The 23,319-nt window shown below is 53.1% G+C and overlaps 1 protein-coding gene and 1 non-coding gene across 3 annotated transcripts in view, besides 8 other annotated features; both read left to right on the plus strand.

The window, feature by feature from the left end:
- Nucleotides 1-17,964, plus strand: part of ARMC9 (armadillo repeat containing 9) — a 178,218-nt gene extending 160,254 nt beyond the window's left edge. For both annotated transcript variants that reach the window (NM_001271466.4, NM_001352754.2), the window contains exons 23-25: nucleotides 1,870-1,999; nucleotides 11,069-11,241; nucleotides 12,629-17,964. In NM_001271466.4, coding sequence (NP_001258395.2) covers nucleotides 1,870-1,999; nucleotides 11,069-11,241; nucleotides 12,629-12,651 — 326 coding nt within the window. In that variant the 3' untranslated portion in view covers nucleotides 12,652-17,964. The remainder of the gene's footprint in view (nucleotides 1-1,869; nucleotides 2,000-11,068; nucleotides 11,242-12,628) is intronic.
- Nucleotides 1,613-1,907: a silencer, noted in NCBI's record as "tiled region #9410; K562 Repressive non-DNase unmatched - State 13:Ctcf". NCBI's record gives its function as "represses a minimal TATA promoter and a strong SV40 promoter by Sharpr-MPRA in K562 cells {active_cell/tissue: K562}" and the evidence as "EXISTENCE:reporter gene assay evidence [ECO:0000049][PMID:27701403]".
- Nucleotides 1,613-2,428: a biological region, named in NCBI's record as "Sharpr-MPRA regulatory region 9410".
- Nucleotides 1,785-2,428: an enhancer, noted in NCBI's record as "H3K4me1 hESC enhancer chr2:232225381-232226023 (GRCh37/hg19 assembly coordinates)". NCBI's record gives its function as "activates a minimal SCP1, AML or CMV promoter by ChIP-STARR-seq in primed H9 embryonic stem cells {active_cell/tissue: H9 hESC(primed)}" and the evidence as "EXISTENCE:reporter gene assay evidence [ECO:0000049][PMID:30033119]".
- MIR4777 (microRNA 4777) lies at nucleotides 3,824-3,909 on the plus strand. Its single transcript, NR_039937.1, has one exon. It is a non-coding gene; the product is annotated as a microRNA 4777 (primary transcript).
- Nucleotides 10,160-10,806: an enhancer, noted in NCBI's record as "H3K27ac-H3K4me1 hESC enhancer chr2:232233755-232234401 (GRCh37/hg19 assembly coordinates)". NCBI's record gives its function as "activates a minimal SCP1, AML or CMV promoter by ChIP-STARR-seq in naive H9 embryonic stem cells {active_cell/tissue: H9 hESC(naive)}" and the evidence as "EXISTENCE:reporter gene assay evidence [ECO:0000049][PMID:30033119]".
- Nucleotides 10,807-11,454: an enhancer, noted in NCBI's record as "NANOG-H3K27ac-H3K4me1 hESC enhancer chr2:232234402-232235049 (GRCh37/hg19 assembly coordinates)". NCBI's record gives its function as "activates a minimal SCP1, AML or CMV promoter by ChIP-STARR-seq in naive H9 embryonic stem cells {active_cell/tissue: H9 hESC(naive)}" and the evidence as "EXISTENCE:reporter gene assay evidence [ECO:0000049][PMID:30033119]".
- Nucleotides 11,455-12,101: an enhancer, noted in NCBI's record as "NANOG-H3K27ac-H3K4me1 hESC enhancer chr2:232235050-232235696 (GRCh37/hg19 assembly coordinates)". NCBI's record gives its function as "activates a minimal SCP1, AML or CMV promoter by ChIP-STARR-seq in naive H9 embryonic stem cells {active_cell/tissue: H9 hESC(naive)}" and the evidence as "EXISTENCE:reporter gene assay evidence [ECO:0000049][PMID:30033119]".
- Nucleotides 12,102-12,749: an enhancer, noted in NCBI's record as "NANOG-H3K27ac-H3K4me1 hESC enhancer chr2:232235697-232236344 (GRCh37/hg19 assembly coordinates)". NCBI's record gives its function as "activates a minimal SCP1, AML or CMV promoter by ChIP-STARR-seq in naive H9 embryonic stem cells {active_cell/tissue: H9 hESC(naive)}" and the evidence as "EXISTENCE:reporter gene assay evidence [ECO:0000049][PMID:30033119]".
- Nucleotides 17,305-17,868: an enhancer, noted in NCBI's record as "OCT4-NANOG hESC enhancer chr2:232240900-232241463 (GRCh37/hg19 assembly coordinates)". NCBI's record gives its function as "activates a minimal SCP1, AML or CMV promoter by ChIP-STARR-seq in naive H9 embryonic stem cells {active_cell/tissue: H9 hESC(naive)}" and the evidence as "EXISTENCE:reporter gene assay evidence [ECO:0000049][PMID:30033119]".

Here is a 23,319-nt window from a genome sequence, read left to right on the forward strand (position 1 = left end):
TTTCCCCACCAACCAGGACTATCTTCAATATCAAAATCACATGCCTTGGGACTTCATAGCCCTGGGAGTTAAAATGCCCAGCCCTGTCTGAAATGGACCAGCAGGCAAGAGATACTACTGTCCCAGGAAGACCCCGGTGCACACCCATGGCTGCCCCATCTCCTAGCTCCTGGCTGTCTTAGTTAGGGGGGTCTCCTGTTTTTTTTTTTTTTTTTTTTTGAGATGGAGTCTCGCTCTCTCACCCAGGCTGGAGTGCAGTGGTGCGATCTTGGCTCACTGCAAACTCCGCCTCCCGGGGTTCAAGTGATTCCCCTGCCTCAGCCTCCTGAGTAGCTGGGATTACAGGCATGTGTTACCATACCCGGCTAATTTTTGTATTTTTAGTAGAGACAGGGTTTTACCATGTTGGCCAGGCTGGTCTCAAACTCCTGGCCTCAAGTGATCTGCCTGCCCCAGCCTCCCAAAGTGGTGGGATTACAGGCGTGAGCCACCGTGCTCAGCTGGTCTCTTGTTCTTGGTGGGACCTCTGAAAGTCTTCAGTGTGGCCTGTGCTGGAGGAAGTAGGAGAGGAGAAGGGGACAGTTGAACCAAGACCACCTCATGGTCTTGGGACACTCCAGCTCAGTTCCTCCTTTTTTATGACCACCCCGTCCCCTACGCTCACACCCCCTGGGAAGCTCCTGGTCCTGGTCCTAGAGGACTTGCCTGGCGTGGGCACAGCTTTGTGACTCCACACGTTGTAATGGGGTTCCCCTGCGTGTAGCCCAGCAATTCGGTGTGACTTCACTCAAGTATTCTCTTGTACACCTACGCTTTTTCTCCTGGCCTTATTCTAAGCACACTGAGCATGTGCCTCCTGTCCTGAAGCTCTATTTCTAGACCCAGATCCAGGTGGAGACCGCCCAGTGCCACCCGCTGGGTTCTGGTATCAGAAATAGATTCTCGTTTGGGTCAAAAGAGAATTATCTGGAAGTCAAAGCCCCTTGCTACAGGGAAACCTGCAGGGAAGATCCCTTTATATTTAAGATTAAACAGATCACATTGCAAAGCCACAGAGGAGCTGCTAAAATGAAAGAGCTGAGAGGAGCTTGGCCTAAGGGAGTCACGGATGCAGCCTCTGTCACAGTGTCGCTGCAGCAGTGACATGGACCCCTTCAGCTGTAGGAGAAGAGGAGAGGCGGGGTGGGGGAAGGGGTGCGTGGCATCTGAGATGCAGGAACATCTGTTCCCAGGCCCTTGGGGAGCCCTCCGTATGCTATGATGCTATCTGGGATTCTCCGTCTGCTTCCCCGTGAAGGGCTCCTGCGTGTCCCGGGTGGCCTGGTTCTGGGTGGGCATCAGCTACAGCACAAGTCACTGGGAGTTAGGGCACTTCCTGGCCACCCTGGGTGTACCGAGTGGTTCAGCATTAAGGAGCCTTGGGCTGCTCGGTGAGGAGCACCCTACCTCTCAGGTTGTTGGTTTTAGCAAATAAAACTACACACCACCCAGTTACATTTGAGTTTCAGATAAGCAAATGGGCCTCCACATTCTGTCTGGGGGCGCCTAGCCATGGCCCAGGGAGACAATTTGTTGTTCTGAGGGCTTTCCAGAGGCTGAGGGGTGCCAGGAAGGCTGAGCGGCCAGGGTGATCTGAACCTCCCTGGGCTGTGCCTGTCACCACCAGCAGTGTGCCTGCCATCCCCCGCTACCTGGCAAGTTCCCGGGCTGCACGAGTAAACAAGTATCCCAAGCCACAGGCGCCAGGGAGCCCGCAGGGCCTGGCCTGGGGTGCGTGCTTTTCTTGGCTTTCCAACCCAGCCCACGAGAGGGCATCCTTAGAGGGGCTCCAGAGCAGATGTGGACTGAACTTTCTCTCCTCCTCCCCAGCAGCCATCATCGCCAAGCCAGGAGAGTGGCTCCCAAGAGGACGCCAGGAAGAGCCTCGCCCAGCCCCCACGGGGACCCCCCGCCAGCCAAGGGAGGCGCCCCAGGACCCAGGCAATGGAGTGACCACCAGGTAAGGGGGATATCACAAGGCCTCGAACCTGACTCTCGGAGCTCTGGGAGTGGGCGCCCCACGCCGGATGCAGAGCACCCAGGAGACCTGGAAGGCTCCTCTGAGGCCCAGCCTCTGACAGGGGAGGCTAAGGAGCAGTGTCAAGATTCCCAGCGGAGTGCAGCCGCCACTCCTGACCACCTCGGAGGGCTGTGCTGCCTGAGAGCCATCAGTCAGACGGGAAGGACACAGCACTCAGAAGCATGCCCATGGGACTAGTTTTCAAAACTGCCAGGCGGACTTGTCCAGGGCTGGGTGATGGGGTGACTTAGGGACAGTGTCCTGTCAGCTTTTTGCATTTGGAGGAAGTGGGCTGTAGGGCAGAAAGATGGAGAAGGAGGTGAGTAAATGGTTTGGCTCAGAGGTCACTTCCTGAAACAGAAACTGGGCCTCCAGGCTGGGGCGTGGTGGCGCACGCCTGTAATCCCAACACTTTGGGAGGCTGAGGCAGGAGGATTGCTTGAGCCCAGGAGTTTGAAACTAGCCTGGGCAACATAGTGAGACCCTGTCTCAAAAAAAAAAAAAAAATCAAAAAACTAAAAAAAAAAAAAGAAAAGAAAAAACTGGACCCCCGAGCAGAAGAAAAAAAAAAATAGTGTCCTCTCTTCCACTGTGCCACGTGAGCACAGACTGGCCCTGTGGGTTATTAGGGGTTCTTTAGGGTCTAGAAAGGACCTTTCCAATCTCGCCAGCTCTTTCTTTTGGATCTGGAGAAACCTGCTCAGGGAGAGGGGCCTGGCCTGGGTCTCAGACCCTGCCTGTCCCTGACCACCAGGCATGCCAGCTGCCCCTCACCACTTCCTCCTGGCCATGAAGGAAGCCAACCTCCTGCGGTAAAATATGGGGCTGGAGCAGGCTCAGCTTAGTTCTGGGGGCCCCCGGAGAGGACAGGCAGGAAGACTGAGCAGAACCTGCACCCACTGGTGGAGAAAATCGGAGAGAGAAAGAGGCAGGAAGAGAAATCAATGGGGAGTGGCAGACAGGAGGAGGATGTAAGAGAAAGGGGGCGCAGACAAGTGTGCTGAGCTTCCTTGGGTGGGATGGGCTAGAAGCCGAAATCGGAACTGTGGGAAGGATGGGAAGGACTTCAAGACCTGGGCTAGGGAAGGGTGGGGGCAGTCCCAGCTATCTTTAAGAAGCACGGGGTCAAAGGTGGCTGCATTACTGGGGGAGGGGCCAAGCCTCTGGACTCCTCCAGTTCCACTGCCAACCTGCCTGGGGACCCAGGGACCTACCTCCCCTACCTGGGCCTCCTCCCCTCTTTCTGTGGCTGAAGAGGAGCTTGTCAGCTAGACCAGGGGTTCTCAGGCTCTCAGCATCCCCCTGAAATGGGGACTCAAAATGAGAGACCTCTGAGGAGTGGGCTAGAGCTATCTCATGCCCCCAGTCCAGACTGGATCCTCCCCTGCGGTTCAGCCAGGCCAAACCTACGCTTCCGGTATAGGCCACTTCTTTTTACTTCCTGCAAATGCTGAGTTCATTTCTGAGGCTCTCCACTGGGGACAGCCCTCTCTCCCCAGAAATAACTGTTTTCACAGTAGGTAGGCAGCCGACCCTGAGGGACCTCATTACATCAAGCAGCGTTGCCTAGCTGGCCCCCCAAGATTCTACTGAGCACAAAGACCCCTCAGGGTCCAACCCAGAGGTGCCCTCCCCTTGGTGTCAGTCACTGAAGCCAGCTCTTATTTTAAGCCTGGGAGTTCAGTGTGAGGAAGAAGAGGATGGAAGGAGGGAGAAGTACAAGTTGTTCCATCTTCCTCTTCCTCCCTCACTGGCAACGTCATCTAGAATATTTCGGCATTCTAGATGAGAGATATATATATACCTCATATGTATATGGTATACCTCATCTAGAATGCTGTAATATTCTAAATCACAAGTGGCCATCTCTTGTCAGGCTGACTTCAGCCCCAATTCAGGTCTCACTGAAGCATCCCTTCCTCCTGCCTGACCCCAAAGTGCGGGTCACGCCCTTCTGCCAGGCTCACAGAAGCCACAGTCCCTCCACGGGGCGGAGACCCCACTGTGTTGTCATGTGGCTGCCTCTCACTGCCTCAGAGACAAGCGCAGTGTGCAGGGCACAGAGAGCGTGCAGGGCCTGCTGGGTATACGGGGAATGCAGGGCTGCAGGGAGTGTGCACAGTGTGCAAGGTATTCAGGAAGTGCAGGGCTGCAGGGAGTGTGCAAGGAGTGCAGGGAATGCAGGGCATGCAGGAGTGTGCACAGAGTGCCAGGAGTGCAGGGCATCTGTGCTGTGCTTCTGCACCTGGCCTAGGTGGTTAGAGTACTTGTTGATGAACAAGTAGGAGAAAGGGAGAAAGAGTGGTTCTCTATGTGGCTTTGGTGGGGAACGTTTGTCCCCTCAACTTCCCCGAGCTCTGTTCTCTTGCTCTTTCAGGTGAGGTCTCATACCCAGAAGAAGAATTGGTGGATGGGCAGGAAGCCCTTGGGGCAGAGGTCTGGGGTCAGTGGTAGACTGAATGATGGCACTGTTACTTAGCCCAGGAAGCCCTTGGGGCAGAGGTCTGGGTCAGTGGTAGACTGAATGATGGCACTGTTTACTTAGCCCGGCTTTCAGGTGTTTTAAGGATAATGGCCACTCAAGCTCTGTGCCAGTGACTTCCAGCAACTGTCTTGCTGTAAAATTACTTTCTCGGAGGCTAGAGAATAAAAGTCTAGACCTGCCTGGCGCAGTGGCTCACGCCTGTAATCCCAGCACTTTGGGAGGCCAAGGCGGGCGGACAACGAGGTCAAGAGATCAAGATCATCCTGGCCAACATGGAGAAACCCCGTCTCTACTAAAAATACAAAAATTAGCTGGGCGTGGTGGCACGTGCTTGTAGTCCCAGCTACTTGGGAGGCTGAGGCAGGAGAATCGCTTGAACTGGGAAGCAGAGGTTGCAGTGAGCCGAGATCGCACCACTGCACTCCAGCCTGGACGACAGAGTAAGACTCCGTCTCAAAAAAAAAAAAAAAAAAAAAAAAAAAGCCCAGACCCTACAATCATGGTGCCTTCCCCCAACCCCCATGGTGAAATTTTCCTTTTCCTTTGTCAGCTTCTTAGACTCCTTAGATTAAGTAGCAGGATAAAACGAATGTTGACCAGCTTTAAAGATGTATTTATTAAGAAACAAATGCATTTATCCTGCGAAGAGCCAAAGTGCATCCCAAGAAGTATGTCAGTCCAGACCACAGAGGCTGAGTTGCACCCCGGAATGTGCAGGAAGGTGATGGCAGGGCTGCCTTGACTGTCACCTGTCAGTCCTTCTCAGCATGGCCCTGCCACTCCAGAAGAGCAGCCCCAGCCAGGTGTGGGGTGCTTGTGCCTGGAAGTTCACCTCCACGTGGCCTGAGGACAGGTGAGGGAGGTGGCTCTGTCTGAGGAGCTCCTCGCACTCAGGCCCAGGACAGGATCAGAAGCAAATGTCAAAAATCTTGTCCTGCCACAGATGAGAAGTGATTCTTTTGCAAGTGCTGTGACTTTTTTAAAATGAGAAGAGATTGTACATATGTCTACATGTATGCCTTTCCCCTCACGTTTGTCCCTGAGGATGGACAGCAGCTCCCAATGGCACATTCATGCATCCAGCTAAAGAAACAACACATGCTCATGCCTGGAATCCCAGCACTTTGGGAGGCCGAGGCGGGCGGATCACCTGAGGTCCAGGAGTTTGAGACCAGCCTGACCAACATGGTGAAACCCTGTCTTTACTAAAAATACAAAAATTAGCCGGGCATGGTGGTGCATGCCTGTAATCCCAGCTACTCGGGAAGCTGAGGCAGGAGAATCATTTGAACCCAGGAGGTGGAGGTTGCAGTGAGCCGAGATCACACCATTGCACTCCAGCCTGGACAACAGGGCAAGATTTCATTTCAAAAAAAAAAAAGAAAGAAAGAAAGTGGCCCTCGGCAGAGCATCAGGGAGCTGCCCCTTGGCCTGGCAGAGCCCACCCCGTGAGGCACCCTGACCACCTTGGGGGCTGCTTCAGGCAGTGCCTGTGTTGACCTAGGAGGCTGGGCCCCTATCATTGGATGCTCCAGCTGCTCTAGGAAGGATGCAGTGGGAGGTGGGGTGGACGGCTGTTGGTAAGTGTCAGCTGAGCCCCTGGTGGCCTCAGGGCCCTCCATCCTCCCAGCATGGTGAGCTCAGCAGCCTGGAGGCAGCCAGGAGCCAGGGCCAGGAAATGGCGCTGGTCTGGCCTGAGATGAGGCCAGATTAGGGCAGAGCAGAGAAACCATGTGGAAAGGAAGTCCAGGACGGCAGTCACCTATGACATAGGGGAAGTCACGTGCCGCAGAAACGCATGGGACTGAGTCCTGGAAAAAATGTAAAGGGTGATATACGGGAAAGTTGGGAGGTGCTCTGCAAGGTAGGCGATTGTTTATTAGAGCAGCCTGGCCCTTATATGATCTCAGCGTATCAATAGGAACATTGTGTTGGGAGGGAAGAGCCATAAAATGCCTCGGGAGATGCTGAGTCTTTCCCTGTGTTTGCAATGCTGCTGAGTCATAATCCGGCTGCTAAGCATCACCCAGCAGAGGATCCTGTGTCCCTTCTGTTTGCATTAAGCCCAAAGAAAAGCATTCAGGGCCCCTAGGCGACTCTGCCCAGAGGGTTCATAACCGGCTCTCAGTTATTGCTGCGGACATTTCATCTGGATTATAAGAAAACCCAGAAAGGGGCAGAGGTGGGGAAACGGGCCAGAACAGAATACAGCAGATAAAGGCAGATAGGAACCAGCCGCACACACAGCAGATGGGAACCAGCCGCACACACAGCAGATAGGACCCAGCCGCACACACAGCTCCCATGCCATGGGCACACACTTGGCGACACGTCTCAAGCTCCTCGGCCTCCTGGGGCTTCATGTGTCGTTTCTTTTTCTTTTTTTTTGAGACACAGTCTCGCTCTGTCACCCAGGCTGGAGTGCAGTGGCACGATCTTGGCTCACTGCAACCTCTGCCTCCCGGGTTCAAGCGATTCTCCTGCCTCAGCTATTTTCTCCAGTGCCAGTGGGAGGGGCCAGGCAGAGGGAGCCCCGGTCTGAGGAGGCTCATTCCCACCCCTCACAGTCATGTCCTAGGGAGAGGGGGACAGGCTTAAGGTGTATTAGTTAGGACTCTCCAGGGAAACAGAGAGGCTGATTTTAGGGAATTGGCTCATGTGATTGGAGAGGCTTGGCAAGCGCAGAATCTGATGGGGTAGACCAGCAGGCTGGAGAGTCAGGGGAGAGTTGCCGTTCAAGTCCAAAGGCCATCAGTTGGCAGAACCCCTTCTTGCTCAGGGAATATCAGTCTTTTTCTATTATGGCCTTCAGCTGACTGGATGGGGGCACTCATGTTACGGAGGGTGATCTGCCTCACTCAGAGTCCACTGATTTAAATGTTCATCTTGTCCAAAAAAGAACTTCACAGAAACATCTAGAATAATATTTGACCGAATATCTGGGCACCATGGCCCAGCCAAATTGACACATAAAAATAACCATTACGGGCCAGGCACGGTGGCTTATGCTTATAATCCTGGCACTGTGGGAGGCCAAGGTGGGAGGATCTCTTGAGGCCAGGAGTGTGAGGCCAGCCTGGGCAACATTAGCAAAACCCCACCTCTAAAAAAATAATAAAATTTTAAAAATTGGGCCAGCTGCGGTGGCTCACGCCTGTAATCCCAGCACTTTGGGAGGCCGAGGTGGGTGGATCACGAGGTCAGGAGATCGAGACCATCCTGGCCAACATGGTGAAAACCCGTCTCTACTAAAAATACAAAAATTAGCCGGGCATGGTGGCGGGTGCCTGTAGTCCCAGCTACTCGGGAGGCTGAGGCAGGAGAATTGCTTGAACCCATGAGGCGGAGGTTGCAGTGACCCAAGATCATGCCACTGCACTCCAGCCTGGTGATAGAGCGAGACTCTGTCTCAAAACAAAACCAAACAAATTTTTTTTTTTGAGACGGAGTCTCGCTCTGTCGCCCAGGCTAGAGTGCAGTGGCGCAATCTCGGCTCACTGCAACCTCTGCCTCCCGGGTTCACGCCATTCTCCTGCCTCAGCCTCCCGAGTAGCTGGGACTACAGGCGCCCGCCACCACGCCTGGCTAATTTTTTGTGTTTTTAGTAGAGATGGGGTTTCACCATGTTAGCCAGGATGGTCTCGATCTCATGACCTCGTGATCCCCCCGCCTCGGCCTCCCAAAGTGCTGGGATTACAGGCGTGAGCCACCATGCCCGGCCAACAAAACAAATTTTAAAAAATTATTTTTAATAACCATCACATAAGGGCTTTGATGCCCAGTGGCAAATTGCTCTCCAAAAAGATGGTGTCCTCTTCCAGTTATCCTTGAGGTGGGACGTTACGGATTCCTGGGCCCTGCCGCCCAGGCTTTCTCTCCTTGGGCTTCTTGTTGACTCACCTCAGCTGACCCTGACCCTGCAACTTGACCTTGCTGCCTGCCGGCTTTAAGGCGCCATATGGAAGCCAGCTATCCCTCCTGGAATTGCACTGCCAGTTCCTCCAACCCTGGGGGACCCTGGCTGCCTTTGAGGGCTGCCTCCCAGGCTAGCTGGTGCTGGCCGCCCTGTCCCCAAGACCATGCGATGGTCCTAGGGCTAACCCAGCACTAACCCCTGCCCTTACCAGTGCTGGGAATAGTACCGCTGTTCATGTGAGTCGTTTTTACTAGGTTTCCTGTTGTTCCTTCTTAAAATATGGCAGGGCTACACTTAAAAATGATAAAGATGGTAAATATTATGGATATTTTACTACAATTTAAAATAAGTTAACTGGCCGGGCGCGGTGGCTCATACCTATAATCCCAGCACTTTGGGAAGCAGAGGTGGGTGGATCACCTGAGGTCAGGAGTTTGAGACCAGCCTGGCCAACATTGTGAAACCCTGTCTCTTCTAAAAATACAAAAATTAGCCGGGCGTGGTGGCGGGCGCCTGTAATTGCAGCTACTCGGGAGGCTGAGTCACGAGAACTTGAACCCAGGAGGCAGAGGTTGCAATGAGCCGAGATCGCACCATTGCACTACAGCCTGGGCAACGAGCAAAACTCCATTTCAAAAAAAAAAAAAAGATAAATTAAAATAAGTTAACTATTATAATAATGACACAAAATATCAAAATATGAATAGTAAAACATAAAAATTTGAACCAAATAATTTTAAAACACCTCATTTGATGGTTACACACGTTATACCTGCATCAGAATATCACACTGTACCCCATAAATATGTACAATTATTTATCAGTTTAAAAAAGAAAGAAACCACCTCACTAGACCACGTACAAAGCTCCTTTGTATGTGTGAAAAAAGCATCAGCAAAGCTTTCATGTAATGATTTTACAACCCAGTTCCCTGGTCAGATAGCCCCGCGTATCTGTGAACTCATCCCATCAGGAAATGCATCCTGATCTCTGATCCCCAGCCCCTAGCAGAATTCTCAGCACGCGTGAGCTTGATCAATGAATGAAAGAAAAGGAGAACATCCATTTATTAAATCCGAGTATATCAATCAGAAGAAATAATACCCAACTCTTGTAAATGCTAACGACAGGCTGCATGGATGTGTGGAGAGGGTGGGATGAGACTCATAAAAGCAGAGTGGTAACAGGAGCCTGTAACTGTACCCACAAGTAAGCAACAATGTCACATAGGCAAAAGGTAGAATATGGAAAATATTTGGGGGAATAGTGTTATGAGTGATACAAAAATTTTATTTTTTGAGACAGGGTCACACTTTGTTGCCCAAGCTGGAGGGCCCTGGCGTGAACAAAGCTCACTGCAGCCTTGACCTCCCAGGCACAAGTGATCTTCCTGCCTAGCCTCCCAAGTAGCTGGGATTACAGGCACATACCACCATGCCCCGCTAATTTTTTGTATTTTTAGTAGAGATGGGTTTTCACCATGCCGGCCAGGCTGGTCGCGAACTCCTGACCTTGTGATCTGCCCACTTTGGCCTCCCAAAGTGCTGGGATTACAGGCATGAGCCACCGCGCCCGGCCTATTTTTCTAATTATTAAAGTGATATGTTATCAATGTAAAAAAAGGCATATAGAAACAAATCAAACCAAAAGAATCCCACAGTCTCCTCCCAAGTCCTACTTCCCAGAACTATACTTCCATCTAAGGGGTGCTAACAACTGGGCCCAGGATATGTCCTCACTGAATTCTCACAGCTGTTCCTTAGACATTTTACAGGCAGGGAAACTGAGGCTCCCAAGGTGTCAGGGAACTCCCGTGCAATCACCATCTGGAGAGCGGTGGGGCTGGACCCAAGGCTCCATGGCATGGGGATTCTTGCCCATGGGTGCCTGCATTTCCCCACCTTATGCCCATCGTCTCCTTCCTCCTGTGCTTTCTTTTTTTTCTTTTTTTTTATTTTATTTTTTTGAGACAGAGTCTCACTCTGTCACCCAGGCTGGAGTGCAGTGGCGTGATCTTGTCCCACTGCAGCCTCTGCCTCCCAGGTTCAAGCAATTCTCCTGTCTCAGCCTCCTGACTAGCTGGGACTACAGGCATCTGCCACCATGCCTGGGTAATTTTTGTATTTTTAGTAGAGACGGGGGTCTCACCATATTGGTCAGGCTGGTCTCGAACTCCTGACCTCAGGTGATCCGCCCGCCTCGGCCTCCCAAAGTGTTGGATTACAGGCGTGAGCCACCATGCTCAGCCAGTTTCTTTTTTTTTTTTTTTGAGACAGAATTTTGCTCTTGTCGCCCAGGCTGGAGTGCAACAGTGCCGTCTTGGCTCACTGCAACCTCCTCCCAGGTTCAAGCGGTTCTCCTGCCTCAGCCTCCTGAGGAGCTGGAATTACAGGTGCCCGCCACCGCGCCCGGCTAATTTTTGAATTTTTAGTAGTGACGGGGCTTCACCATGTTGGCCAGGCTGGTCTCTAACTCCTGACTTCAGGTGATTTGTCCGCCTTGGCCTCTCAGAGTGCTGGGATTATAGGCGGGAGCCACCACACCCGGCCCCTCCTGTGGTTTCTAATGCTGTAGTAGCTGGGACTCCAGGTTGCACGTTTTGTTCTAGGGAATGTGCATCAGCCTTCACCTGCAAGCCCCGGGCCCCCTGCACTCCAGAGATGCTGGACTGGAACCCACCCAAGGCAAAGGCGTCAGTTCTGGCCCCTCTGTTCTCTTCGTGTGGCCCCCAGCAGGCCAGCCGCCCCGGCTCCACAGCGTCCTCCACAAGGGGCCTGCCGAGTAAGTCAGCCTGGGCCCCACTGGCGTGGGAGCCTGGCCACCCGCCAACCTGCAGGGAAGGGCATTTTGCTGCTATATTTGGCCCCGTGCTCCTGTGTGTACCAGGCCAGGCCAGAAGGGCAGAAGGCCTGCTTCCCTTCCCCACACAACCAGGCCCCAGCAGGTGGCTTCCTTTCCTCCAGGGACCGGTTCTGCATGAATCTTCCTTCCTATTAAATTCCCTTTGGCCTCAGTGACTCAAACTCAAGCTGAGGAGTGAGACCTCCAGGCAGGTCACTGAGAGAGAAGCCCCTCCCCACTTCCCTCTGTGGAGCTCACAGAGTTGGCCCTGAGCTGGCCCTGCTGCCCCGGGGTTGGCCCTGAAACTCGGACCTGCCCTGGTGGGAGGTGGTCCAGCCCCTGGTTCAGCCACTGTGTCCCTGCCTGGCCCAGCCTCGGTCAGGCCACCCCCAGGTCAAACAGAAGCGGGTGTCTGCTCGCAGGCTGGATGGAGGGGCCGCCAGAAGGGCCTGAAGATGGGATGGGCCCAAGGGCCCCCACTCTCTCCCTGGGGCCTCTCTCTCACCCTCTCACCTGAGGCTCACTGTAAGGACCACTTCTTTGTCTTTCTCTGTCCCCTTCCAGCCTCTGCCAATTGATAGCCCCTCCACCTCCACGCCCCAACTGAGCTGAACCTTTCTAGAGGGCTTTACCAAAACACAGGGAAAACAAAAGGACAGAACAAAAGGCCAGGCAGGACGAAAGGAGTCCCGCTTAGGATATGCGCATTTCTTTGGCCGCCCCCAGCCCGCCCCACCCTACTACCTTCCTGGCCAGGCCCTGGGCGCTCTGGTCAGCTGGGGACACGCTGGGTTGGAAGTGGGGGTAATGGCCATGGCTGGGGAGCCAGGTTGGGACCCCTCCCACTTCCCACTGGGAAACACACCCAAAACCCCAGCCCAGCCAGTCGCAGCCCAGGTCAGGCGCAGAGGAGGTGCAGCAAATCCAGGGGAGGCTCGGCCAGGAGGAAGGTGCCACTGGGGCAGGGATCCCCAGTCATAGCAACAGTGACACCAGCAGCTGGTGGCTGGCCTGGCCCCACATCTAGCAGCATAGCGTGGCCACGGTGTGGACAGCTCAGCCAGCCATGGGCGTTGTGTGTCCTGTGGGCTCAACAAACACGTGAGCTGTTGCCAGCAAAGCTGACTGAGTGACCCGCACCAAGCAGCCTGCTTCCTGTGAGGAAAGAGCCGGCCCGCCAGTCGAGCCCAGGCCACAGAACAGGTGACCTGGGAGAGGGAAGGTTCCCTCGCTTCTGAGCCGGCTGAAAGAGGGACTGAGTGGGACAGAGGGGATTCTGTGCGGAGACCACACAGCACTGGCATCTTGCTCTGGCTTTTCTCTCCAGGCAGCCAGTCTCACAGGAAGTAAGGATGTCCCCGGGTGTCCCCATCACGTTGCCGGAGGACCAGCCAGCTTCCCGCTCTCAGCTGGCAGCAGCTGCCGGTGATGGATGTGAAGGGACAGTTGTCCACAAGACTCTGGGAGCTGAGGGGAGGCCGGCTCTCCAGGCAGCACCAGAGCAAGGCCATCGCAGCCCCGCCAGCCGGGTCACTTTCTCCCAGGGCAGAGCCACCAAGGAGGGCTGGGGAGAGCCTGGCATTGCCCTCCTGGAGAGGGGAATTTCCTGCTCACCCTTCACACACAGAGGAGAGGGGTGGCTTTTGCCCGCAGGAGATCTTCTGGCCCCAGAAACAGCAGGTGCTGGATTTGCAGCCCTGGCCCTCCAGGCCCCAACAGGGCGACAGTGTAGGGCCAGCCTGGAGCAGGGCTTTTCCAAGGCTGCTGAAGCCAGCCCTCCTCACTTGGGCTGACTACCAGGACCCAGAAGGAACTCAGGGTGAAGCTCATTTTATTCTCAAGCCTGCGTCTCAGCAGCAAAGTTGGTGTTTTCTTCCTGTGTTAAAATCTGAGAAAGAAGGCCAGGTGCGGTGGCTCACGCCTGTAATTCCAGGACTTTGGAAGGCTGAGGCGGGCAGATCACGAGGTCAGGAGATCGAGACCATCCTGGCTAACGTGGTGAAACCCCGTCTCTACTAAAAAAATACAAAAAAATTAGCCGGGCGTGGTGGCGGGCGCTTGTAGTCCCAGCTACTCTGGAGGCTGAGGCAGGAGAATGGCGTGAACCCGGGAGGCGGAGCTTGCAGTGAGCCGAGATCGTGCCACTGCACTCTAGCCTGGGTGACAGAGCGAGACTCCGTCCCCAAAAAAAAAATTCTGAGAATATGGTGTGTTCCAGCCTCTTCAAAGCTCTGCTCTTCTGCACACGTTTTTTGAAGGCCTTAAAAAGGCCACCAGTGTGACCAGGGAGCACCCTCTGCCTCCCTCCCTGCACTGGGACCATAAACATAAACAGCTCTACCAGCAAAGTGACCCATCCCGCGGGGGAGGCCTGCGCACGCCCCTCACCAGGGCTGTCATCAGAATCCAGTCTTAGGACAGAGGAAGGATGTTTGCCTTCAGGACCAGCAAGTCACAGGTGTCCTGGATGTTACCCAAGCTCTAAAATCAAATAAAACCCATCAGTATTTAGTGGTGTGTGTGTGTGTGTGTGTGTGTGTGTGTGTGTGTGTGTGTGTGTGTGTGTGTGTATGAGTGTATGAAGGGAAATGGAAAGCAGAGAAAAGTCGCGTGCCCTCCCCCAGGCACCTGATCTGCCCACAGACCCTTCAATGGGGACATCTCTGGTCCCAATGGTCGTAAATAAAGGCTAAGCGCTGGATTTTTCCATGGCCCCCTGACTCCTCAGGAGCGCAGGCAGAGGAGGTAAACAGGAGGCCAGGTTACCCATGAGATGACCAGAAGCTCATCCAGGGCCGGGACCCTGGTTCATCTCGTGAATTCTTGGCAGCGGCTCCAGGCTGGGCACATTAGATGCTGTCATGTGACTGGCCTGGTGGCCACCTCTTGGTTCTCTGGAAATGTGTCCACTCTGTGCTCAGGGAAGAAGGCTGCCGTCCTGACCTGTCAGCCACCAGGCCCTCTCTGAACTCCTCACTTGACCCGGAGGCATTGGGAGCAAACACAAAGCTCGCCCCTGGTGTCAGTGGTGCAGACAGAGGAAAAGCAGAGGGTCCGCAAAATGCAACTCCTCCGTGGTGAGACTTTGAAAAGGTGTAGAGTGGTTGCAGACAAACAGCAAAGGAGTGGAATGGAAAAATCTCTCTTGCTCCCCACAAGAAGTCCACTCCCCTACGGATTCCTCAGATGCCACTGGCTGGCACAGCCTTTCCCGCCCTTGGTGTGGGAGCAGCAGAAGTCCAGCGGGGGTGGGAGAATCATCGGGGTCAGGTCAGTGTCTCCCTCGTCTGAAGTCAACCACTACTTTTCCCTCAAGCCTACCAAAGAGCTAAAGTCTGATCTGTAGATGTCTGATGGTTTGAGGAGAAGAAAAGATAGTCTTTTAGAGAAGTGGGGAGTATCCAACTTAGGGTCAAAATACACTGAGATTAGGCCGGGCACAGTGGCTCACACCTGTAATCCCAGTGCTTTGGGAGGCCGAGGCGGATGGATCACTTGAGGCCTCCAGGAGTTCGAGACCAGCCTGGCCAACATGGCGAAACCCCGTCTCTACTAAAATACAAAAAATTAGCTGGATGTGGTGGTGGGTGCCTGTAATCTCAGCTACTCAAGGAGGCTGAGGCACAAGAATAGCTTGAACCGGGAGATGGAAGATGCAGTGAGCCAAGATCACGCCCCTGCACTCCAGCCTGGGCGACAGAGACTCCGTCAAAAAAAAAAAAAAAATACATTGAGATTACCAGGTGGGGTATGTGTGGTTCTTCCAGGAAAGTGCTGAAAATATCACCCAGGCCTCTGCGCCACGCCCTGGGAGAGTACACTCCTGGGCTCACGCCTCTGCATTCCAAGGCTGACAGCTAGAAATATACTTTGTAAAATACCAACAACTTATTCACAAATATTCCAACTATCTACCAGCTCCAATGAGCTTGCTGAGGATGGGTATGACCCCAGTCTAAGGGGAAAGAATCTAAAACACAAGTAAACCTGTTTAAAGGCCAGATCTCCAGATGGAGATCCAAGCAGATGGCGCCTAAGGTTTGCCCTTGAAAACTACCAAGGAAGCCACAGAGAGGGATCTTTGGACCTTCTGGAAAATGGTAAGGCCCCAGGTAGATTATGGCTCCTCTGCCCTGGAGGCTGAGCCGCCCCTCTGGTTACCTCACATCTTCTGGTTTCTTCTGAGTGGGACTTGATCTCATTTCTGCATTCACAGCAAGGTGGAACTGTCTGGCAAGAGCTTAAATTAGGACCTGTGGTGGGGACTTTAATAGGCAGGTGGAGGTTTGAGATCCAGTGAGATGCCAGAGATTAGTCAATAGGTGAGGAAAGATTTGGCCCAAATCAAAAGAGCTAAAAAAAAAATAATAAAATAAAAATAAAAATAAAATAGTTGAACAAATAAGGTTCATGAAAAAAAAAGAAAAGAAAGAAAAGGTAAAGAAAAGAAATCCATGATAAAATATCAAACTTTTTAATAAAAACAAGTCTGGCCCTGTACTTGGATGACCCCACCTGGCTTGTCTAACCCTAATCCCAGCCCCAGTTTTAATAAAACTGTATTTACAAAATAGGCAGCTGGGACGTGGACCAGAGATACCAATTTGATTTTTTTTAAATATTACATTAAAATATTACATCATGTGTCTTCATTACTGAGTTTTGGGGTAGCCCTTTAAATTTTGTATGCAAGGTGAATACCTCACCCCTCTCTCCTGGCCTAGAATCTGGGGGATCCTCCTGTCCCTCCCACAGTGCCTGATAGCACAGCCTGGGGCTGGTGGTGTGCCTGTTTGCCTAGCTTTATCTCTCCAGATACTATTTGGGGTGTGCTGTTCTAAGAAGTGATTAGGTTAGCTTTTGCATATTAACAAACTACCTCTGAAACTTAGTGGCTTAAACCAACAAATGTATTAGCTTTATAATGATTTGGATCAGTGATGGGGGCTGGGCACGGACAGGCGATTCTTCTGCTGGGCTTGGCTGAACTCAACTATGTCTTATGGTCAGAGGGCAGTCAGGGGCTTCGCTCATGTCTGGTAGTTGGCTGTTGGCTGAGCCCTTGGTTCTCCTCTGGCTTAGGCTTGTTCACATGGTGGCCTCGGGGCTCCCATGGCAGTTAGAGAAATCAAGCCCAAGTCTCATATCACGTTCACTATTCTCCCATTGTCCAAAGCAGACCACATGGCCAAGGCCCAAGTCTGTGTGAAAGGATGTGGATACAGGGACCCCGAATGAACCAGAGGCAATACTGCTGCAAGCTACCACATAGATGCTGTTCAGAGCTTTGCAGGACCAAATCTTTTAGGGCTGTTTTTCCATTGTGGTATACCCTCTCCATTTAGATTCAATTGAACAAATATATTCTTTGGGGCTGCAGTGTGTCAGATGTGGAGACATGGTCCCACTGGCTTTCAAGTTGCCATCCATCTTCTAGGGAGAATTTCTGGCCTTTTCGGATGGCATGGTCCAGGCCGGAGCACCAGCCCCAGGTTGAAACATCAGGCAGGTTTCTAGGAAATGGTTGCAAAATTAGCAAAAAGTCAGGGCTACAGAGCCCTATCCAGAGTCGTCATCTTAAGGTGTCTACTAAAGCCTGGGGGTGGATGGGATCTCAGAAGGGGGACTAGAGAAATAGGAAACTGGGGACAGAACCCGGGGGTGAGAAAGAAGACAGCAGGTGTTGTGGGAAGTCAGGGACCCCAAACGGAGGGACTGGCTGAAGCCATGACAGAAGAACGTGGATTGTGATGATTTCATGGACATTTATTAGTTCCCCCAAATTAATACTTTTGTAATTTCTTATGCCTGTCTTTACTACAGTCTCTAAACATAAGTTGTGAATATTTCATGGACACTTATCACTTCCCCAGTCAATACCCTTGTGATTTCCTATGCCTGTCTTTACTTTAATCTCTTAATCCTGTCAGCTGAGGGGGATGTATGTTGCCTCAGGACCCTGTAATAATTGCATTAACTGCACAAATTGTACAGCATGTGTGTTTGCGCAATATGAAATCTGAGCACCTTGAAAAAAGAACAGGGTAACAGCAATTGTTCAGGGAATAAGAGAGATAACCTTAAACTCTGACCACTGGTGAGTCGGGCGGAACAGAGCCATATTTCTCTTCTTTCAAAAGCAAATGGGAGAAATATCGCTGAATTCTTTTTCTCAGCATGGAACATCCCCTGAGAAAGAGAATGCACACCTGGGGGTGGGTCTCTGAACTGGCCCCCCTCCCCCGGGGGCGTGGTCGTCTCTTATGGTCGAGGCTGCAGAGATGAAATAAACTCCAGTCTCCCATAGCGCTCCCAGGCTTATTAGGAGGAGGAAATTCCCGCCTAATAAATTTTGGTCAGACCGGTTGCTCTCAAACCCTGTCTCCTGATAAGATGTTATCAATGACAATGGTGCCCAAAACTTCATTAGCAATTTTAATTTTGCCTTGGTCCTGTGGTCCTGTGATCTCGCCCTGCCTCCACTTGCCTTGTGATATTCTATTACCCTGTTAAGTACTTGATGTCTGTCACCCACACCTATTCGCACACTCCCTCCCCTTTTGAAAATCCCTAATAAAAACTTGCTGGTTTTTGTGGCTTGTGGGGCATCACGGATCCTACCAACGTGTGATGTCTCCCCCGGACACCCAGCTTTACAATTTCTCTCTTTTGTACTCTGTCCCTTTATTTCTCAAGCCGGCCGACGCTTAGGAAAAATAGAAAAGAACCTATGTGATTACTGGGGCAGGTTCCCCGATAGGCAGGTGCAGGAGTTTCAAGGAAGGAGGAGGAGGAGGACTAGGGATGCAGGGAGGAGGACTTGGAATGCAGGGGGAGGACTAAGGATGCAAGCTCTGGAACCCAGGGAGGAAAGCAGGGGATGGAGGGCGGTCACCATGGTCGGGCTATAGAGGAGGTGGGGAAGAAGATAACAGGCTAAGGCCAGCTTGAGAGCAGTTTCCTTAGAGCACTGGCCAGAGGTCAGCCTGCACCAGTGCCCGTCAAGGCGGTGAGCTGGATGCCAAAGGCATTGAGGTCAGAGGGGAGACCCAGAGAAGACAGGGAAGTGGTGGCATGAGCTCTAAGAAGGGAGGCTGGAGCAAAGGCCTCAAAGTTGTGATCTTGAGGGGTGCTGGGGAGCAAGGAGTCCACCAGGCTCTCCTCTGGCCCCTGGGCAGGAGGCAGTGGTGTGTGGCCAGTTTGGGACAGCTCACAGAGCTGATTCCTAAGTTTGGGGGGAATTCTTTTTTTTTTTTTTTTTAGGACAGAGTCTCGCTCTGTTGCCCAGGCTGGAGTGCAATGGTGCGATCTCGGCTCACTGCAAGCTCCGCCTCCCGGGTTCAAGCAGTTCTCCTGCCTCAGGCTCCCAAGTAGCTGGGATTACAGGCACGTGCCACCATGCCTGGCTAATTTTTGGATTTTTAGGAGAGACGAGGTTTCACCATGTTCGTCAGGCTGGTCTCGAACTCCTGACCTCAGATAATCCGCCCACCTTGGCCTTCCAAAGTGCTGGGATTACAGGCATGAGCCACCGCGCCCGGCCCAGTTTGGGGGAATTCTATGAGCTGCTTTTAAACATAGCCATTACCAAAACTTAAGTTATATAAACTTACAGTAAAATAAATTCTATTAAGAACAAAGGGAATAAATACTCAAAACATCCTTTCCTAAGGATTTTCCTGCATCCACTGTCCTCAGTCCTGGAGGTTATTCACATCTGTTGCATCTGTATGGTGGAAATATGACAGAATTAACAAAGGCTGCTGGACATCTCTTCCCAGCTCTGTGTTCAGTGACATCATTTTGGTAGCTTGAAACTGGCCATGGTGGGGGTATTTACACCACAGAAATTGGCAAGCACCACAAACCAGAGCTTTAGCCCCCACCCCCAAGAGCCGGTTATTAAATGTTTACCAGCACTCCACTGGCAGAAGCCGTGCAAGACGGTGCAGCCTCAGAGGCAGGATGTTGGGTGGATCAGGAACTATGTCAGGGAGAGTTAGAGGAAGCAAGGCAGTGTGCATCCCTGAAATAGCAAAGCCAAGGGTGTGGCATGCACGATGGAGAGGTAGCGGCTGACTCTGCCCAAATCTCTTTCTACAGGTCCTCAGGGATCGCACTGGCCCAAAGCACTTGTGTCAGCTCACCTTCCAGCATCTGGCTCAGAGCCTCTCCCCATTTCTGTGATCACCGAGGGCTTCTTCCAGTTGTCCTGGGTGTCACTTGGACACCTTCCTGCTTGGCACAGTGTTGCTGCTCACGCTCTCGCTGTCCCTCTGGGCCTCTGGAAACACGCCTGCCCCAAGTGTGCACAGGTGTGGAGCTGCTCTTTGTCACAAGTCTTCAGTGATGAGTCACCAGTTCCCGGCGGGGGAAGAGTTCACTGGATACATGATAGTGTGGCCTGGGTCTCAAACAGCCTGGAGTAGGGATCACTGACCAGGCTGGAAGGGAGGGGCATACAGGGTGCCACCCTCTGACCAGCAAGTTTCCAAGTTATGCCAAGTCAGGCCTCAACTCAGGCAGCACCGTCTTCAAGGGAGAAGCCAGGCAGAGGGTCCCAGTGGCTTATAGGCCCTGAGGGGCAGGACCAGGGACCCTGGGTTTACTGAGGGAAGGTGGGGTAGAGGCTGGATAAAGTACCTCGGCCAAAGGCAAGAAGAGTGGGGCTGAAGGGCTGGGGCCTGGATTTGGGACGCCATTACCATTGCCATTCTCAGCCAAATGCCAGTCTTTTTTTTTTTTTTTTTTTTTGAGACAGTCTTGCTATGTTGCCCAGGCTATCCTTAATTGATCCTCCTGTGAGGCCTCCCAAAGTGCTAGAATTAAAGGCACGTGCCACCAAGCCCAGCCGAAGGCCAGTCTTTCAGCGCCTCAAAGGGGAACAGCATGATTAGAATGTGTGCACAGCTGGCCGGGCACGGTGGCTCACGCCTGTAATCCCAGCACTTTGGAAGGCCGAGGTGGGCGGATCACGAGGTCAGGAATTCAAGACCAGCCTGGCCAACATGGTGAAACCCTGTCTCTATCAAAAATACAAAAATTAGCCGGGCATGGTGGCATGCGCCTGTAATCCCAGCTACTTAGGAGGCTTGAGGCAGGAGAATTGCTTGAACCCAGGAAGTGGAGGTTGCAGTGAGCCGAGATTGTGCCACTGCACCCCAGCCCAGGCGACAGAGAGAAAAAAGCATGTGTGCACAGCCTCCAGGGAGGCCCTTGGCCCCAGGGTCTGAGGATAGGCCAATGGCCCTCCCTGGCCTCGGGCATCCCACCTGGGCCCTGTTGGGATGACTACCCTGGGGCTGTGTGGCAAACCAGCAAGGAGGCGGCTGCTGTGCGCTGAGCACCCTGGACAAGGCCCAGGAGGCTGCCGCAGAGACAGGGGAGGCTGGGGGAGGGGGAGGGAGGCAGGGACGGGGAATCAGCATCCCTGGGAGACCCCAGCAGCAGCCAAGACTCCAAAAAGGGCATGAAGTAGTGGTCAGGTGGAAAAATGCAAAAACCAGGCCAAAGAGGAGAGAAGTTTCAGATTTTGTGAAACCTCCCTCCCCCAGAGACCCTGGAAATAGTGACAGGGAGGAGACCTCGCTCTCTGACTCACGGCTATTACTGTGCCGCATGCGTGCACGTGAGTGGGCAAGGCTGCTGGGGTACTAGGAGACCCCAGGACCAATAACCCCCATCCTAGGAAAGGAAGCAGAGTCAGGCAGGGTGAGGCCATCCTCTGGGGTGAGGCCGAGGCCCAGGCAACTGGATGTTTGTTGTTCCCGTGGCTGAGAGGAAGAATGGAGGGAGTGGCCATTGTCAATACAAAGATCTCAAGGAGAATCAGTCCATGAGTCAGGCCGACTAGAGCCAGTAAGGGGGGCCACGATCAACAATGGCGCTTCCAGAGGCCACCAAGGCCGAGGCCGTGATGTGGAGAGGGTGGGTGGAGAGTGGCATCACACAACACCTGGAACTTGGGCTTCAGGGCATCCTGGTGCTCTGCTGAGCCCGTCCGTGGGGATCCCCTGGTGTGGCCTGGGATCCCAGAGCCATCAGCAGCTGCGGCACTGCCTGGCCAGGGTGAGGGTTGAGCAGGCCTCCCTCCAGGCAGAGGCCTCCCCTCCCTACTCTTGCCATGTGGTCCACATGGGAACTGCCCGACTGCCCTGGTCGGGAGCAGATGGGACCCCCCACTTTCCCTTTCAAAGACAAAGCTGAGATGAGAGCTGCCGGTGGCTGGGCCTCCATCTCTGGAGGAAGCCATGGTACAGGAGGAGAGTGAGAGCCGCTATTCAGGAAGAGGCAGAGGGGCCGATCGCCCGGTGGAATCTGGTTGTTTCCAGCAATACCCGGCCCCGCTCAGCTTATCTGAGCCAATAAATCCCTGCCTTTAAAATAAAAAAGATGCTTCAGGTTGGGTGTCGCTAGCAATCCAAAGGTTTATAACCTAAACACTGACCCTGGTCACTCAGACTTGGGATTGCTGCTTGAGTTTTGTGTGCCACATTGCTCCCATCTTCCTTCAAAACCCACCTTCAAGCCCAGTGTAACTCCGGTCCTTAAATTTTTAACTATGAAACCACCTCCAACGCTCCACAGGCCCTTTACCCTTCCATCGGGAGGTGCCGATGGATGCCCAGGGCTCGGGTGCTTCCAGGGAAATCAGCATTTGGCTGGGCCCCTTCGGTTTGCTTAGGAGCAAACTCCTCTTTCGTTGAGTTCAAAACCACTCCAGGCTCCACTCCATCCTCCACTCTCTACTCCGTCCACCACTCTCTTCTCCACTCCATCCTCCATCTCTCCTCCACTCCATCCTCCACGTCCTCCTCCACTCCTTCCTCCACTCCATCCTCCACTACATCCTCCACTGTTTCCTCCACTCCGTCGTCCTCTCCACTCCCTCCTCCACTCCATCCTCCACTCCCTCCTCCACTCCTGCTCCACTCCATCCTCTACTGTCTCCTCCACTCAATCCTCCACTCCCTCCTCCACTCCATCCTCCATCCTGAACCCCATCCTCCACTCCCTCCTCCACTCCATCCTCCACTCCATCCTCCACTGTCTCCTCCACTCCATCCTCCACTCTCTCCTCCACTCCATCCTCCACTCCCTCCTCCACTCCATCCTCCACTCCCTCCTCCACTCCCTCCTCCACTCCATCCTCCATTCCATCCTCCACCCCATCCTCCACTCCCTCCTCCACTGTCTCCTCCACTCCCTCCTCCACTCCCTCCTCCACTGTCTCCTCCACTCCCTCCTCCACTCCATCCTCCACTCCCTCCTCCACTCTCTCCTCCACTCCATACTCCACTGTCTCTACTCCCTGCTGCACTCCCTCCTCCATCCTCCACTCCCTCCTCCACTCCATCCTCCATTCCATCTTCCACTCCATCCTTCACTTCCTCCTCCACTCCATTCTCCACTGTCTCCTCTACTCCCTCCTTCACTCTCTCCTCCACTCCATCTTCCATTCCATCCTCCACTCCCTCCTTTACTCCATCCTCCACTCTCCTCCACTCCATCCTCCACTCTCTCCTCCACTCCATCCTCCACTCCCTCCTTCACTGTCTCCTCCACTCTTCTCCACTCCATCTTCCACTCTCTGCTCCACTCAGGAAAACAAGTTTCCACCTTCACTTTTATTTCAAAATCGTGAGGGTTCTCTTGGTGTCGTGTATAAATGTAAGATGATGAAGGAACAAAAGAGGGGATGATGTGGCCTGTGATTAAGGAATTCAGCACAGAGATTAAAGGTGGGACAGATGGTGACAGTGGCAGTGCCCGGCTCGAGGTCCAGACTCAGCTCTGGGCTCTTTTGGTGGATGATACCTGGGCCACAGCCTCGGCCATGAGGCCCAAGGTTCGTGCTGAGGATTTTAAGGTCTCCATCAGGCACAGGCAGCAGTGGGCCCAGCAAACTGGACTGAAAAGTTCACGGTCATAATTGTAGTTAAATAAAACTCAGAAACTCGATCTGGCCCAGGGGTGAAATACACCACAGTTTTTTCCCACACAGTGGTTTGGCTAATG

Source organism: Homo sapiens, chromosome 2 (assembly GCF_000001405.40).
Source record: "Homo sapiens chromosome 2, GRCh38.p14 Primary Assembly".
In the NCBI taxonomy this organism is placed as follows: domain Eukaryota; kingdom Metazoa; phylum Chordata; class Mammalia; order Primates; family Hominidae; genus Homo; species Homo sapiens.